General features: G+C 34.3%; 1 protein-coding gene across 1 annotated transcript in view; it reads right to left on the reverse strand.

The window, feature by feature from the left end:
• TACR3 (tachykinin receptor 3) overlaps positions 1 to 16,592 on the reverse strand; it is a 133,955-nt gene that overhangs the window by 59,900 nt on the left and 57,463 nt on the right. The window contains exons 2-3 of the mRNA NM_001059.3: positions 12,285 to 12,473; positions 10,264 to 10,414 (exon numbers count right to left, since the gene is read on the reverse strand). Of these exons, the coding sequence (NP_001050.1) occupies positions 10,264 to 10,414; positions 12,285 to 12,473 (340 nt within the window). The remainder of the gene's footprint in view (positions 1 to 10,263; positions 10,415 to 12,284; positions 12,474 to 16,592) is intronic.

Below are 16,592 nucleotides of genomic sequence, written 5' to 3' on the forward strand. Positions count from 1 at the left end.
TCCAAGACCCTGTTCTTTCTAGTTAGCTGTGGGGCCAAGGCACAGCATGCAAAACCTGTCATGTACATGGCACGGAGCTCTTGGCTTTCCTAGTTCCTAATTCAGTCATTTAATAGTCTGTCTGTATCTACAGAATTACTTTCATGACCAAGAATTGATATTTTTGTTATTGGTCAAATTTGAACATACTAGTACTGAGGGCAAAGCTTTGCAGCATGTCCTTAGAACCCTTCCTCCAGGTGGAGATAATTCTCTTTATCAACACAAGCGGAGGTTTGGCACTGAACCAATATTAACCGCAACTTGAAAGCAGTTCATTTTTCTTTACCTGATTCACAAGGCTAACAGAAGACTAGAAAACATCTTTCCTGAATTTAGACAAACTTTGTCTATTCCACTTCCACAGTAGGAATTTTTAATAAATAATCTTTGACGAATGAAGGTGGATCTGATATAGTATAACATTCACATTGTTTCCATTCTCTATATAGACACCACTTCTTTATTCTTATTGATGCATTTTATAATTATAATCATTTAAATATTATGTTTTATGTCCAATCATACAGCTGTTGATTAGTATAATTTATTCTCTTTCCATCTTGCTAATTAGTCATTGGTCTTGTAGCATTTATGTTGTACAAGGCCAGTGTTGTAGATAGTTACTCCAAGATGTCAGTAGGGAGTCATTTGTGCCCCTCACGCATATATTTTGGGATGTATTTTGTCATTGCCAAGGATTTTTAAATTATTTATAGGAGAATGTGACTACATTTTCTTCCAACCTGAGATGGAATGAAGTAGTCTTTATTTATGGAAATACTATGTAGAAGAGATGGATAGCAAATCTTTTCTGTTTCCAAAGTGAATGAGTTCAAATTGTAGTCATATGGATTTAGTGAGCTGTAAATAAGATGCTAACTCTAAGAAGCATTACAAATGACTTTGAGAAGATATCTATAGTTTTCTTACTTAGGGAACAGTATGATATAGGCAAGACTAAGAAAATAAAATAGCATATTTAATTTCTTTTACCAAATATCCTAAATATGAAATCTGTTAGCCCCTCTACTCATTTCCTCCTTACAGTCTTCGATTTTAGTACAGAATAGGAGCAAGGCAAGGGATTCATGAAATTTTAGATTCTTATCAGATCTATCATTCTAGAATAGTTTTTTACAACTGCAAGTGTATTTTAAGTTAGTTTGTGAGTTGAACACTAGATATTTAAAATTCAACTTTTCATATGCCAACCTATGGTGTATTGAATAAAGACATAAAGTTTCAAATTTTGTTGTATAATTGTTATAATTTTAAACAGATAGTTTCAATAATGATTTTCATACATTGCATTTTAGCCAATGTTTTAATAGGTAGCCAAAATCTTTGACTATCTACTAATAAGTAGACTAAAGTTGACAAGGATCAGTTTCCTTTTCTAGATACTAAATTATTCTCAAATTGGAATGTAAGCATTAATATAACTTGGTCAGCAAACAGGATAATGTTAAGAAAGCATTCTCTCTTAAAATTTATAGAAGTATCATAATTTCAATTTCCAACTTGAATATCATAGTAATGTATTGAATAGTACACATTTTTTGAAGGAGAGCTTTGGCAAGATTAGTAACCAATTATCATTGAAAAAAATGAACTAAACTTAGCCTAGGCTTTGAGGATTGTGTGACAATTGTTATTCTATATTTTGAAATTAGTTGAATATACTTTCCTTTAAAGTATAGGGATTTTTAAGTTAAATACTTGGCTACATTTAAGAGGTTCAACACTCTAATTTTAATGGTAAGGAAACATTTTTAAAGCTATCAGCTTATTTCTCAAGGGTAATATTCAGTCTTTTTACCTAGTGCTAGTTAATACCAGTGTTGTTATTTTTAAACTATTGCTACTTAGGCAGAACATAATAAAAATCGAGTGGGAGTAGTTAATCCAAAATTATCTAAAAGTTTCATATTAATTCAAAGTTTAAATATGCTAGGTTCTATATAACATAAAAATGTGAGATATTTCTACTGGCTATACTTCAAAGAATATAATTCACAAGGCTTGAAATTGACCACAGTTCCTAAAAGTAGTGGGAGAAAGAGAAATGGAAGCAATGCTCTTCAATATTTACAAAGGTCTTCTGCTCGTGACTAGCCTAAAATTTTTTCAGCTCTTATATATTCTTGTACATGAGTAATTGGGAGTTCAATCAGCATCTGCTAGCCTTTCATTATTTATTATTTATTTCTGTGGGTACATAGTAGAGGTATACATTTATGAGTTCCATGAGATATTTTAATACAGGATAATGCGGTATCCATCACTTCAAGCATTTATCTTTTGCATTACAAACAATCTAATTATACTTTTTTAGTAATTTTAAATGTACAATTAAATTATTGTTGACGGTAGTCATTCTGTTGTGCTATATAATATGGGAACTTATTCATTCTTCGAACTATATTTTTGTACCCAATAACACTTCCCACTTCACCCCTACTTTCCCACTACCCTTCCAACCTCTGGGACCTTCCTTCTACTCTCTATCTCCATGAGCTCAATTATTTTCATTTCTAGCTCCCACACGTAAGTGGGACCATACAAACTTCATCTTTCTGTGCCTGGCTTATTTCACTTAACATAATGACCTCTAGTTCCATCCATGTTGTTGCAAGTGAAAGAATCTCATTCTTTTATGGCTGAAAAGTACTCCATTGTGTATATGTACCACATTTGCTTTATCCATTCATCTGTTGATGGACATTTAGGTTGCTTCCAAGTCTTGGCTATTGTGAATAATGTTGCAATAAACATGGGAATGGATATGTCTCTTTGACATGCTGATTTCCTTCCTTTTGGTTATGTACCTAGGAGTGGGATTGCTGGATTATATGGTAGTGCTATTTTTATTTTTATTTGAGAAACTTCCAAACTGTTCTCCATAGTGTTTGTGTTAATTTACATTCCCATCAACTGTATGAGAGTTTCCTTTCCTCCACATCCTTGCCAGGATTTGTGATTGCCTGACTTTTGGATAAAGCCATTTTAGTTGGGGTAAAATGATAACTCATTGTAGTTTGGAATTGCACTTCTTTGATGATCAATAATGTTGAGCATCTTTTTTATGCTTGTTGGCCATTTGTATGTCTTCTTTTGAGAAATGTCTATTCAGATCCTTTGCCCATTTTTAATTGGATTATTAGATTTTTTTCCTAGAGAGTTGTTTGAGTTACTGATATATTCTGGTTATTAACTCCTTGTCAGATGGGGAGATTGCAAATATTTTCTCCCATTCTGTGGGTTATCTCTTCACTTTACTGATTGCTTCCTTTGCTGCACAGAAGCTTTTTAACTTGATGTGATCTCCTTTTGTCCATTTTGGTTTTGGTTGCCTGTGCTTGTTGGGTATTACTCAAGAACTCTTTGCCTAGTTCAATGGCCTGGATCATTGACCCAATGTTTTTGTGTAGTAGTTTCATAGTTTCAGGTCTTAGATTTAAGTTTTTAATCCATTTAGATTTGATTTTTGTATATATTACATAGCCCCTTTGAGGCTGTTTTCTAGATGCTGTAGGTATGCTTCATTGTTTTTTTATTTGTTTTTCTTTTGTTTCCTCTTACTGTACATTTTCAAATAGCCTGCCTTCAAGCTCACTAATTCTTTCTTCTGTTTGATCAATTCTGCTGTTAAAAGACTAATGCATTCCTCAGTATATAAATTGTATTTTTCAACTCCAGCAATTTTTCTTGATTCTTTTTAATTATTTCAATGTCTTTGCTAAATTGATTTGATAGAATTCTGAATTCCTTGTGTTCTCTTGAATTTCTTTGAGTTTCCTCAAAATTGCAGTTTGGAATTCTCCGTCTGAAAGGTCACATATCTTTGTTTCTCCAGAATTGGTCCTTGGTGACTTATTTAGTTCATTGCATGAGGTCATGTTTTCCTGGGTGATCCTGAAGGTCATGGATGTTTGTCTGTGTCTGGGCATTGAAGAGTTTGTTATTTATTGTAGTCTTCACAGTCTACGCCCATTTGGACCCATCCTTCTTGGGAAGGATTTCTAGATATTCAAAAGGACTTGGGTATTGTGATCTAGGCCACATCTGCATTAGGGGGTACCACATACCTAGTAAGGCTGTGGTTCTTGCAGACTCACAGAGATACTGCCTTGTTGGTCTTGGATAAGATCCAGAGGAATTCTCTGGATTTCCAGACAGAGGCTCTTGTTCTCTTCCTTCACTTTCTTCCAAATATAGTCCCTTTTCCTGTTCTGAGCCACCTGGAGCTGGGTGAGGTGGATGGGGTGACACAAGCAGCCTGTGGCCACCACCACTGGAACTGCATTGGGTCACACATAAAGCAAACACAGCACTGGGGTTCACCCAAAGCCTGTTTTAATCACCATCTGGAGATATACCTAATGTAAATGATGAGTTAGTGGGTGCAGCACACCAACATGGCACATGTATACATACGTAACAAACCTGCACATTGTGCACATGTACCCTAGAACTTAAAGTATAATAATATATTTATATATATTTATATATAAATATGTATTATTTATATATATTTATATATAAATATGTATTATTTATATATAAATATATAAAATAAATTTAATAAAATAAATATATAAAATAAATTTAATAAAATAAAATTTATATAAAATATATAAATATATTATATATAAATATATAATATATATTTAATATATATAAATATATATAAATAAATATATATTATATCATATATAATATATATTTATATATATAAATATATATAAATAAATATATATTATATCATATATAATATATATATTATATATGATGTATATAATATATATTATATATGATATATATATTTTATATATAATAATATATTATATAATAATATATATATCTTATATATAATAATATATATATCTCATATATAATAATATATATATCTTATATATAATAATATATATATCTCATATATAATAATATATATATCTTATATATAATAATATATATATCTCATATATAATAATATATATATCTTATATATAATAATATATATATCTCATATATAATAATATATATATCTTATATATAATAATATATATATAAAATAATGACCACCTGGCTACCATCTATGCTTGCAGGCTGGCATACTACAATGAGCAGGTGGCGAAGCCAGCCAGGCTTGTGTCCTTCCCTTCAGGGTGGTAAGTTCTCCCAGGTAGATCCAGAGGTGTTCTGGTGGGTCCAGAGTTCCTCCTAGGTGGGTCCAGAGGTGCTGTCTGGGAGTCAGGGACAAGAGTCAAAAACCTTAGAAGTCTACTTTGTGTTCTATTGTACTGTGGCTGAGCTGGCATTCAAACCACAAGAATCAGTTGTTTCCCCTCTTCCGTCTTCATTTCAAAGGCAGAGGACACTTCCTGTGGCCACCACTGCCACAGGCCTACAGGGAGTACTGCCAGACTACCACCTATGTTCACTTAAGGCCCAGAGTGTTTTAAGTCAGCTTGTGGTAAATGCTGCCTGGCCTGGGATTCACCCTTCAGGGCAGTGGGCTCCCATCTGGTCCAGGTAGGTCCAAAAATGTTGTCCAAGTGTCAAGGTCTGTAATCAGAGACCCTAAGAGCCCACTTTGTGCTCTACCTCCTTGTGGCTGAGCTGGTACTTAACATGGAAGATAAAGTCCCCTTTACTTTTCCCTTAGCTTTTCTCAAGCAGAAGGTGTTTTTCCCTATAGCCCCCACAGCTGGGAATGTGCTGAGTCTCACTTGAAGCTAGCATGTCTCAGGCTCACCCAAGGCCCATGGTGTACTACCTGGGTATTGCCACTGGTTATTCAGGCTCTCAAAGGCTTTTTAGTCAGTCGGTGATGGGTCTTGCTGTGACTGGGTCCTTCCCTTCAAGGCAGTGGGTTCCCTTCTAGTCCAGGTTGTGTCTAGAAATGTCATCCTGCACCTAGAACCTGGAAAGGGAGCCTCATAACTCTGACTGGTGCCCTATCTTATTGTGGCTGAGCTAGTATCCAAGATGCAAAACAGTCTTCTTTACTCTTTCCTCTCCTTTCCCAAGTGGAAGGAGCCAGTTCCTTTTGAACCCATGAGCCCTGCTGCCTGGGATTGTGGGGAGGTGGTACATGCACCCCCTTAGTCAGCCCCACTGATGTCTCAGTAGGTTGTACACCACCCAAGTCCACTGGTTGTGAGCCCCGCACAGCACTATGACTCACATAGGAGTTGCGGTCTTTGTGGCCTATACTGCATTTAAAGTTTATTTAGAGTCCCAGAGGACTTTAGCCCACTGTGGTGAGGCGTGGGAGAACTCAACTTCTGACCCGTGGGATGGGTGACTCCCATCTGGCTAGGGCTGGATTAAATATTCCCTCTATGCACAGGCATCAGCTAGATTTGGATCAGTTTTGCTTTCTCCTGTGACAGGGCAATGTCTAACAATTGCTGTCCTTTCTCTCCCAAGGGCAAAGATTCTCTCTCCATGCCACATGGCTGCTGCTGGGGATGGGATGGGGTGTCACTGGCAATTCAAGACTGTCTTTACTACACTCTTCAGTGTCTCTTTCAGCTATATGAAGTTAAAATCAGATACCATGAGAGCTCTCGTGATTTTTGGTTCTTAGGAAATGATTATTTTTGTGTGTAGATAGATGTTACATTGGTGTCCTTCTGGGGTGATGATCAGTGGAGGCTTCTATTTGACCATCCTGCTCCACCCCGTGTAGTCTCTTATTATTAAGAGTCTGGCTCAGAGTAGTGTATAGAATTGTTTTTCCCAATAGTCATGATTAGTTTGCACTCATGTAGCCAATACTTTTTTTTAATGTCTATGTCCAATCTGTAATATCAAAGATATATTCTCTAGGAGACAACATATGAATAAATGGTCCATCCAGGGTAGAACTTCTGTGTTTTAAGTAATGATATGAAAAAATCCAAAATAACATGATTATTAGTAATAGCTGTATTCTAAACAACTCCAGAACAATATTTTGACTTTAGATAAAAAGAAAAAAATTAAGAGAAGGGCCAGCTATATTTTAAAATTTTATTATTTTGAACAATATGCATATTAGTGCCTAGATATCAATGCTCATACCAATAACTGACTGTAAAAGAAATCTAAGGACAAACAGATTTATTATGAGAAGTCCATGATGTAAGGGGCCATTTCGTATTATTTCAGCCTAGAATACAAACCAAGAGGAAGACATATAAACTGGAACTTTAAAATGTCTTACTTTTTTGAAATATTCTAGAAGGGTCACACTCCCAGTCTGAATTAGTATTTCTATTTTGAAACTGTGGAGTAATGAAATCAAAAGGTAATGTTTTGCCTTACTCTCACCATTTATTTAGAGACAAAATTAAAAAAAAAATCCCTCTTCCTTTTTGTTCCCTCTGGGACTCTGAATTCAAAAACAAAAGAAACACTCAGATTAAATTTTTATTTCTTTCTAGAAAAACATTACATGCATATGAAGAAAAACTATAATCTACAATCACTGGGTTTATTTTAATTTGTTTAGGCGTACACAGTGAAATGTTTAAAAAAAAAGCTGAAACTGGATCCCTTCCTTACACCTTATACAAAAATTAATTCAAGATGGATTAAAGACTTACATGTTCGACTTAAAACCATAAAAACCCTAGAAGAAAACCTAGGCAATACCATTCAGGACATAGGCATGGGCAAGGACTTCATGTCTAAAACACCAAAAGCAATGGCAACAAAAGCCAAAATTGACAAATGGGATCTAATTAAACTAAAGAGCTTCTGCACAGCAAAAGAAACTACCATCAGAGTGAACAGGCAACCCACAAAATGGGAGAAAATTTTCACAACCTACTCATCTGACAAAGGGCTAATATCCAGAATCTACAATGAACTCAAACAAATTTACAAGAAAAAACAAACAACCCCTTCAAAAAGTGGGCGAAGGATATGAACAGATACTTCTCAAAAGAAGACATTTATGCAGCCAAAAAACACATGAAAAAATGCTCATCATCACTGGCCATCAGAGAAATGCAAATCAAAACCACAATGAGATACCATCTCACACCAGTTAGAATGGCGAGCATTAAAAAGTCAGGAAACAACAGGTGCTGGAGAGGATGTGGGGAAATAGGAACACTTTTACACTGTTGGTGGGACTGTAAACTAGTTCAGCCATTGTGGAAGTCAGTGTGGCGATTCCTCAGGGATCTAGAACTAGAAATACCATTTGACCCAGCCTTCCCATTACTGGGTATATACCCAAAGGATTATAAATCATGCTGCTATAAAGACACATGCACACGTATGTTTATTGTGGCACTATTCACAATAGCAAAGACTTGGAACCAACCCAAATGTCCAACAACGATAGACTGGATTAAGAAACTGTGGCACATATACACCATGGAATACTATGCAGCCATAAAAAATGATGAGTTCATGTCCTTTGTAGTGACATGGATGAAACTGGAAACATCATTCTCAGCAAACTATTGCAAGGACAAAAATCCACACACCGCATGTTCTCACTCATTGGTGGGAACTGAACCATGAGAACAGATGGACACAGGAAGGGGAACATCACACACCAGGGACTGTTGTGGGGTGGGGGGAGGGGGGAGGGATAGCATTAGGAGATATACCTAATGCTAAATGACGAGTTAATGGCTGCAGCACACCAACGTGGCACATGTATACATATGTAACAAACCTGCACATTGTGCACATGTACCCTAAAACTTAAAGTATAATAATAATAAAATTAAAAAAAAAAGAAATAAATGACAGAAACTAACCAGGTACTATAGAGAAATTATTCTGAAATACATAGAACCTAACATCAGTCATTGACTCTGATGATACCTAAGATATAGCTATAAGAAATTATCCCAAGAAAAGAGTATCTTTCAACATGAGCAAGATGTTATATAAGGCGGGTTGAAATTACAAAGGGGAGAGAGATACTGTTCATGTAAGAGGGCCATGTTTTTGAAGCTCTCCTCGCTTTAGGATTCGTTTGTAGGTGCCAGAGGCCATTTGGTTGTTTGTGCACATTATTTTTAAGTAAAGCTTTTTGAAAGAAAAATAAAATTGAATTACATACACAGTAGATATATTTTTGTACATCCTGAAATGAGTAAATTGATCTGGGAAAGCTCATTCTTACTTTTTGTTTTCAAATGCTAGAAATCATGGTAAATGTTAACCAAACATAAATGTGGTCTAGTATTATTTGTCAATATCAGAGAAAAAGCACTATTAAAATGGAATCCATTTTGTACATTGCATTTTTAAAACCTGATTGATCACTGTTAAGTGAGTTTTTGTAGCTAAGTGTTTTTAAGACTGTTGACTGAATTTTAAAGGAAATGTCCATGTGTTGCTAGTAGTACTGTGTAAATAAGTCATAAATGGAACAAACAATAATGATTGGCATAATCAGTAGGATTCATTCATCTTTGATAAAACCTCTCCAAGATGCATTAGGTACACCCCAACTGTGGAGAAAAGGATGGAATGTGTTTCCTTTTAACTCCACAAATTTATGAAAAAAATCTAACTTATTTAGTCGCATAACGATAGTAGAAAAAATCTCAATAAAATAATCCTAGTAAAATATAATATTTTAGAGGTGTTTTTGTTTCATGTAAATTAGAAACAGCCTTTTTAATGTCACTCAATAAATTATAGAATAGTATTAATACAATCCTCATCCTTTAATCATACATACATATAAAATGTCTTATCAGGGGAAAGAACACACAGAGAAAGTGAGAGAGAAATAAAAAGAGACGAGGGGATACAGGAAAGATAGATGTATATTAGAAAATTATTGCACTTTCTAGAAGAGATGTCATTCCTGGGATAAAAGAAGCCTTGAGCAGATTATAGAATACATCAGAGGCATTCTTTTCAATAAATGACAAAGAAAGATAGAGTTGCAAAAATACAATCAACTGGAATAGTGAAATTTTAGCAATTTCAGCAGAGTAATTAAGAATACTTTACAAAAGGCAATTTTTAAGAAGTCCTTATGTAATGAATTAACTATTATATAACAGACTGATTACAGTATGTGGACAGCAGCTTATACAAAACCAAAAGAAAAGAAAAAAAATTAAAACAAAGACATTAAAAACAGGAGTAGAGCATCAGATCATATTGTATTAACATGCCATGACTAGATTGCTTTTCTTTCTGATATACCATAACCTATACAAATGCTAGGTAAACAACATGGACCAGTACCTTTCTTTTGGCCTTTAGCTGCTCATGATACTTGTCACAGGTATCTCCTGGGATTTCTCCTCCCCAGAGAGTAATTCCAACAATGGTGTATGTAATACCCATGATGAGCAATGGGAAACAGTACACCAGTATAATGACGATAATATGGTAACTATGAAAAATAAGAAAAACACATGCTGAAGACCTTATTGGAATGAAATATTGGGGACTGAATTGGCTCAGCTTTAAATCATAATTAAAACTACCAAGAGTTATTTCTACATTATCTCTATACATTCATCTCAAAATTCCATCAAAATATCATGCTATTGTCACTTATATTTATGTTTCAAATGCTGCCAGTTGATGTTGTCAATCTTTACTTGGTATATGAAAACTATAGCTGGGTTGAAGGGCTCAGTTAAACATAAGTTCTCCTTGCCTAGAGGTTGAGGAGGAACGACTTTCCACTGCTATGTACTCTGCTTGGTAATTGTTGAGCTAAACCAATTAAATGTATCATTGGAGGAAAAGGGAAGGGATAGAATAAATGAATCAACCGGCATATGTTTTCTCCTATATAGGACTGTCTTCTCTATTGCTGCAACATCAGACATACATAAACTGTTTTTCATTCAAATGGTGGGAAAAAAGTAAGTAGATACTCTGAGCCATAATTAATCCACAAGTTACTACAATTTTTAAAAATCAGGTAAAGACATTTACATGCAATTTTCCAGTCTGGGTCCATTTGATTGCATTGTTAACTTGGTAAAAACAAAACAAAACAAAACAAAACAAAAAAACATGTCGACATAGTAGTCAAACGAGAAGTATGCTGCTGTGAATTATCAAATTAAATTCTGGTATTTAGTAGCTTTCAATCAAAATTATAAGAATTCAATTAGCGAGGAAAAGGAGAGTAAGCCATACTACAATAGCCCAAATATAATTTATAATTTTACAAAATTTGTATGGATTTCACTGTCTTGGAAAGCTTTAAAGTAATTAAAAAGTTTGTTAGAACGGTCTTCTCCATACCAGTGTTTTTTTTGTTTTGTTTTGTTTTTTGTAAAGTGAATCTTAAATATCCTTGCCTTTCCATTTCTCAGTAGATTACTAAGTATTGATTTAAAGTCAATGAGGAAATAATTCAGTCAACAAATAATTTGAAGATGATAACATTATCATACAATTAAGATGTATTAATAATATGAATAGGGTACTCAGTTTAATATGAGCTGTCTGATTTTCCTTAAATAAGTGCCTCCTAATATTTTTGTTCAAAAATCTGAACTTTGGGTAGAGCAAAGGTAGATAAAATGACTGCTTTAAATGGCAACCATTATTTGCACCATTTGTTATTTTTAAAGGGAAAAATTGGTGAGTAAAATAGAAAAATAAGTACATTATTAAAATAAAATTTAAGATTATAATTTAAAAATCAAATGCAATAAATTACACAATTACATTATTATTCCTTCTTGCTCTATTTAATGTGGGTATAAAATATGAACCAAATTTTACCATATATTATAGCATTTGTATTTCCTTTTCAATCTAGTGTTCAGGTTTTTTAATGCTTTTTGCTTGTCTAGAGACAAGCAAAAGAACACAAACCAAATCAAACCAAAATAAAATTAGATAACCTACTAGGGTGCTCCTTCCCTTCAGCTACACTTCCTAAAAGAGCAATCAACACATTTGGGCTTTGATTTCTTCCTTCTCACTCATTTCTCAATCAATAACACAATGCTTTTCTTTGCACATTGCTTTTATCTTTTATCACTTCCTTCAGGAAACTCTCCAGTGCCATCCCACATAGACATCCTCATATTTCCAATTAAAAACCTTAGTAACTTACACAACTTATTGACCACACACAAATCATACCATATTACAGTATTTTTATATATTTCCTTTTCCAAATAATGTATGAACCCTGGGGGAAATGTCAGTCTTATTTAATTGTTGCTCCTAATCTGTAGTTTCCTAAATGTTTGATAAACTGAATTGAAAACCATAATAGAGAATTAACTTACGTGAAATGTTGTTTGGGACCTTCTGGCCATTGCACAAAGCAGAGAGTACGGCCTGGCATGACTTTGGTTTTGGAATAAAGACACTGAGGGAAGGCAAGTAGAAATGCTAGAATCCAAATACTTCCAATGACAATCTTGGTTGCTGTAGCAGACAGTCTGGGTTTCAAGGGATCAATAATAGCCATATACCTATATAAAAACAAACAAAACCATTTCATTGGTTTTCTTTATAACAGAGTTTGAAATGGAGTTTCAAAGGTATTTCAAAGGCGTTTCAATAGTTACAGTCATTGCTCTTTTGGGAAACCAGTTGATAAGGACTGCTTGAGTAGAGGCAGCGTAGAATGGTAATCATGGCATAGTCTAGGAATCAGGAAGATCTAGGTTCAAATTCTATTCTGACACTTGTTTAAACTTTTTGAACCTCAGCTTTATTATTTTTAAAATTGAAATAAGAACACCCATCTCTTGGGGTAAAGTGAGGATCAACAGATGTAAGTCAGCGGTGCCCAGCCTTTTGGCACCAAGGATCGGTTTTATGGAAGATAATTTTTTTCCATGGACTGGCAGTGGGTGAGGGAGCGATGGTGTGGGGATGATTCAAGGGCATTACATTTATTGCACACTTTATTTCTGTTGTGATTCCATTGTAATATATAATAAAATAATTATACAACTTGCCATAATGTAGAATCCGTGGGAGCCCTGAGCTTGTTTTCCTGCAACTAGACGGTCCCATCTGGGGTTGATGGGAGACAGCGACAGATCATCACACATTAAGTTCTCATAAGGAGCACTCAACTTAGATTCTTCGCACCTACAGTTCACAATAAGGTTGGCTTTCTATGAGAATCTAATGCCGCTGACCTGACAGGAGGCGGAGCTCAGGCAGTAATGCAGCACTGGGGAATGGCAGTAAAAACAGATGAAGCTTCTTAGCTCACCAGCCACCACTCACTTCCTGCTGTGCAGCCTGGTTCTAACAGGCCAGGAACTGGTACTGGTCCCTAACCCAGGGAACTGGGTACCTCCGATGTAAGTGAAAGATATTAATGATTTGGTATTGTGCCTAACACATTAGAATTCATAAATGTCTGTTGAATGGAATTGGAAAAGCACTTAATAAGTGCTTACAAATACTGGTTTCACAGCTCAAAACCTTCATGTCTCCTCTGTATGTTTAACTTTTAAACATATAATTTCTAGAGAAATAATATGGATTATACCACATACTTGACAAAGATGTGAAACTCCTATAAAAGATATGGTCCATAAACCCATTTAAGAGCAGCAGGAGATAAGTTCAGAATTTCCGTGATTAATAAATCAAGTTCGATTGAGGCTATGCCTTCCTGTTATACCTCATATTGAATTCATACTGCCTCATGAACATCTTCATGGTGCCTATCTGTGTAACTACATATAACACTGTTGTAACGGAAAAATATATTTGAGTCTCTAAAAAGTATACTTAAAGCATACTTAAATATGACTTTTGGAGGGCAACTTCTTGGGGAAGTTAGGAATTCTGTAAATATGGTAAGTAGAGTCATGCTTTATTAACTTAGTACCAGAGTAACAATATAGCTGAAAGAAGCAACTTCCAATTTTGAACTGGAGATAGCATGGCTAATTGCCAAATTCTAGCTAATGTTCAGAGACAAAAATAATATGTACCAAACAAATTAGCTTTTTGTATTTTAATAAAACACGATCTTTATGTTGTTTCAATTCTACTTTTGGTCATTTTATGTTTATAGAATATATTTTGATTTATGAAAAATTTTCAGACGTAATACTTTCATCAAAGAATGAATATCGCATAGGCCAAAAAATGTTAACCTTAAGAATAAATATTTCAAAATAAGGATATTTTATCAATATGTTTATAAATCTTTGTTGTTGTAACTACTGGGCAGAATTAAATTTTCAGAAGATATTGTGAAAATTATCTATATAATATTCTTAATATTAACTATAGTCATGATTTACCTAAAGAAAACAGTCTTAATTCATTATGTATAACAGCCATTAGGTAAACATGAAACTTAGATTTGAAAAATAATCATATTTGTCCTTTTGTGACTGGCTTAATTCACTACATGATTCCAAATATATGTAGTATCTAAAAGAGTGAAACTTATGAAAGCATAGAACAGATAATGATTGCTCAGGGCTCAATGTATATAAAGTTTTAATAATGCAAGATAAAGAAGTTCTAGACTTCTGCTGTATAACATAGTACCTATAGTTAGCAATAAATTATCATGAACTTTATCATGTTAAAAGGATAGATCCCATGTTAAGTGTTCTTAACACACACACACACACACAACAAATACACACACATAAGAACACAAGGAAATTTTTTGAGGTGATGGATATGTTTAGTGCCTTGATTGTGGCGATATCATGTTTTTCCAAGCTCATCAAAATGTATACATTAAATATGTGCATTTTTTGTATATCAAGTATACCTCAATAAAGCTTACAGAAAGAGAAAAGAAAAAGTAGTGACAAAAAAATACCTAAGTTTAGGAAAACAGTGTGAACTCTACAAAGAAAAATAATGCGTATGTTTCAAATAGGAGACTTTAAAATTCAACTCTCATGGTTATTTTGGTGAAGATAATAATAAAAAAATTGATTGTTAACCATAACTAGGGTACATAATGTATGTAATAGGGTTACATACATCATATATACTTAATAGCCATAATAATCCAACCACAGAATAATACTATTACCTCTATTTTACAGAAAGGAAAACTGAGGCTTAAAAGATTATGGGAATTGTTCATAATGATCCAGATAATAAGAGAAGAGCTAGAATTTTAAGCCAGTTTTGCCAGTCTTCAAAGACAATATAGATACAGATTATAGATTTTGAATATAACCATTTATTTTAGGAGAGAAATATATATATTTCTCCTCCATGATATATATGTTAGATACTTATGTGTTATATGTGTGTGTGTGTTAGAGATACCCACCAAAGAATCAGAAGTAGAATTTTGCCATTTTGCATTTTTGAATCTAAAAGCCTTTATGTGTAACATTAAAACAAAGGTAAAATATATAAAGGAATTATATGTGGGCATTTCTGTTCCTGCTCATGTTGATTATAACTCACATAGCATTTATTTCAATATAGGAATTATTTCTGTATTGGTGTTTCAAAGCCAAGCACCTGTCAATAAATTTGTTGTACTGAACTGAATATCCCTCAAATCTCATTATAATCTTTTGCTTTGTTGCTTGCTCTGGCATCTAATGAATGTGATTTAGGTATTTAGACAGTTGATTTTCTGAGAGTAAAGGGAGAAGTGGAATAACACAAGCAAGCTTAAAGCCCTGTACAACTCCTGTAGCACAGATAATTCAAAGTAAATTGCAAATCGCATTGATTCTTCTGGCCAGTCTAATTAGTCTAATGCTAGAGAAGGTATTTTCTGAAATAATTTCTACCTGTTAGAAATTAATTTCTAACAGGTAAAATATCATTTTACTTGAATTACATGGAAATAATCAGTTTATGTTCTCATGAACATGTTAGTGATAGTAGAGATACTGAAACTTCTAGCATACCTTTTTGTCATAGCTGGTCTGATCCATGATTCATTTATTCAATAAAACATTTATTGAATGCCTACTATGGTATTCCAAACACTAGTGATCCAACACTGGGCAAAAATGGTTTTCTGTGAAGTAGAAAAATACTTCCCAAATTGTGAAGTCCATACCATTTGTGAAGCAGACAAATACTAATCAAATAATCTCACCAATAAATGTAAATTACAGATGTGACAGCTGTTACGAAGGTAAGGCCAAGTGTATACATGAACTGAGAAAAATGTATTTAGATTGTACTTCAATTGTCCCTAAGAAAAGTCATTCTAGGTTGAAACTTGGAAGGATAACCAGGCAAGGTGGCAGAAGAGTGAGGGTTGCAAAGATTTCTGGGAGAATGAACAGCATGTGAAAAACTCCTATGTTGATGGTGTTTTTTTTTTTTTTTTTTTTGAGACTGAGTCTTGCTCTGTCGCCCAGGCCGTAAGTGCAGTGGCACGATCTTGGCTCACTGCAACCTCCACCTCCCAGGTTCAAGCAATTCTCTTGTCTCAGCCTCCTGAGTAGCTGGGACTACAGATGCCCGCCACCACGCCCGGCTAATTTTTGTATTTTTAGTAGAGAGGGGGTTTCCCATATTGGTTAGGCTGGTCTCGAATTCCTGACCTCAGGTGATCTGCCTGCCTCAGCCTCCCAAAGTTCTGGGATTACAGGCATGAGCCACCGCCCCAGCCTGAT

The sequence above is a fragment of the Homo sapiens genome, chromosome 4, assembly GCF_000001405.40.
Source record: "Homo sapiens chromosome 4, GRCh38.p14 Primary Assembly".
Classification (NCBI taxonomy): domain Eukaryota; kingdom Metazoa; phylum Chordata; class Mammalia; order Primates; family Hominidae; genus Homo; species Homo sapiens.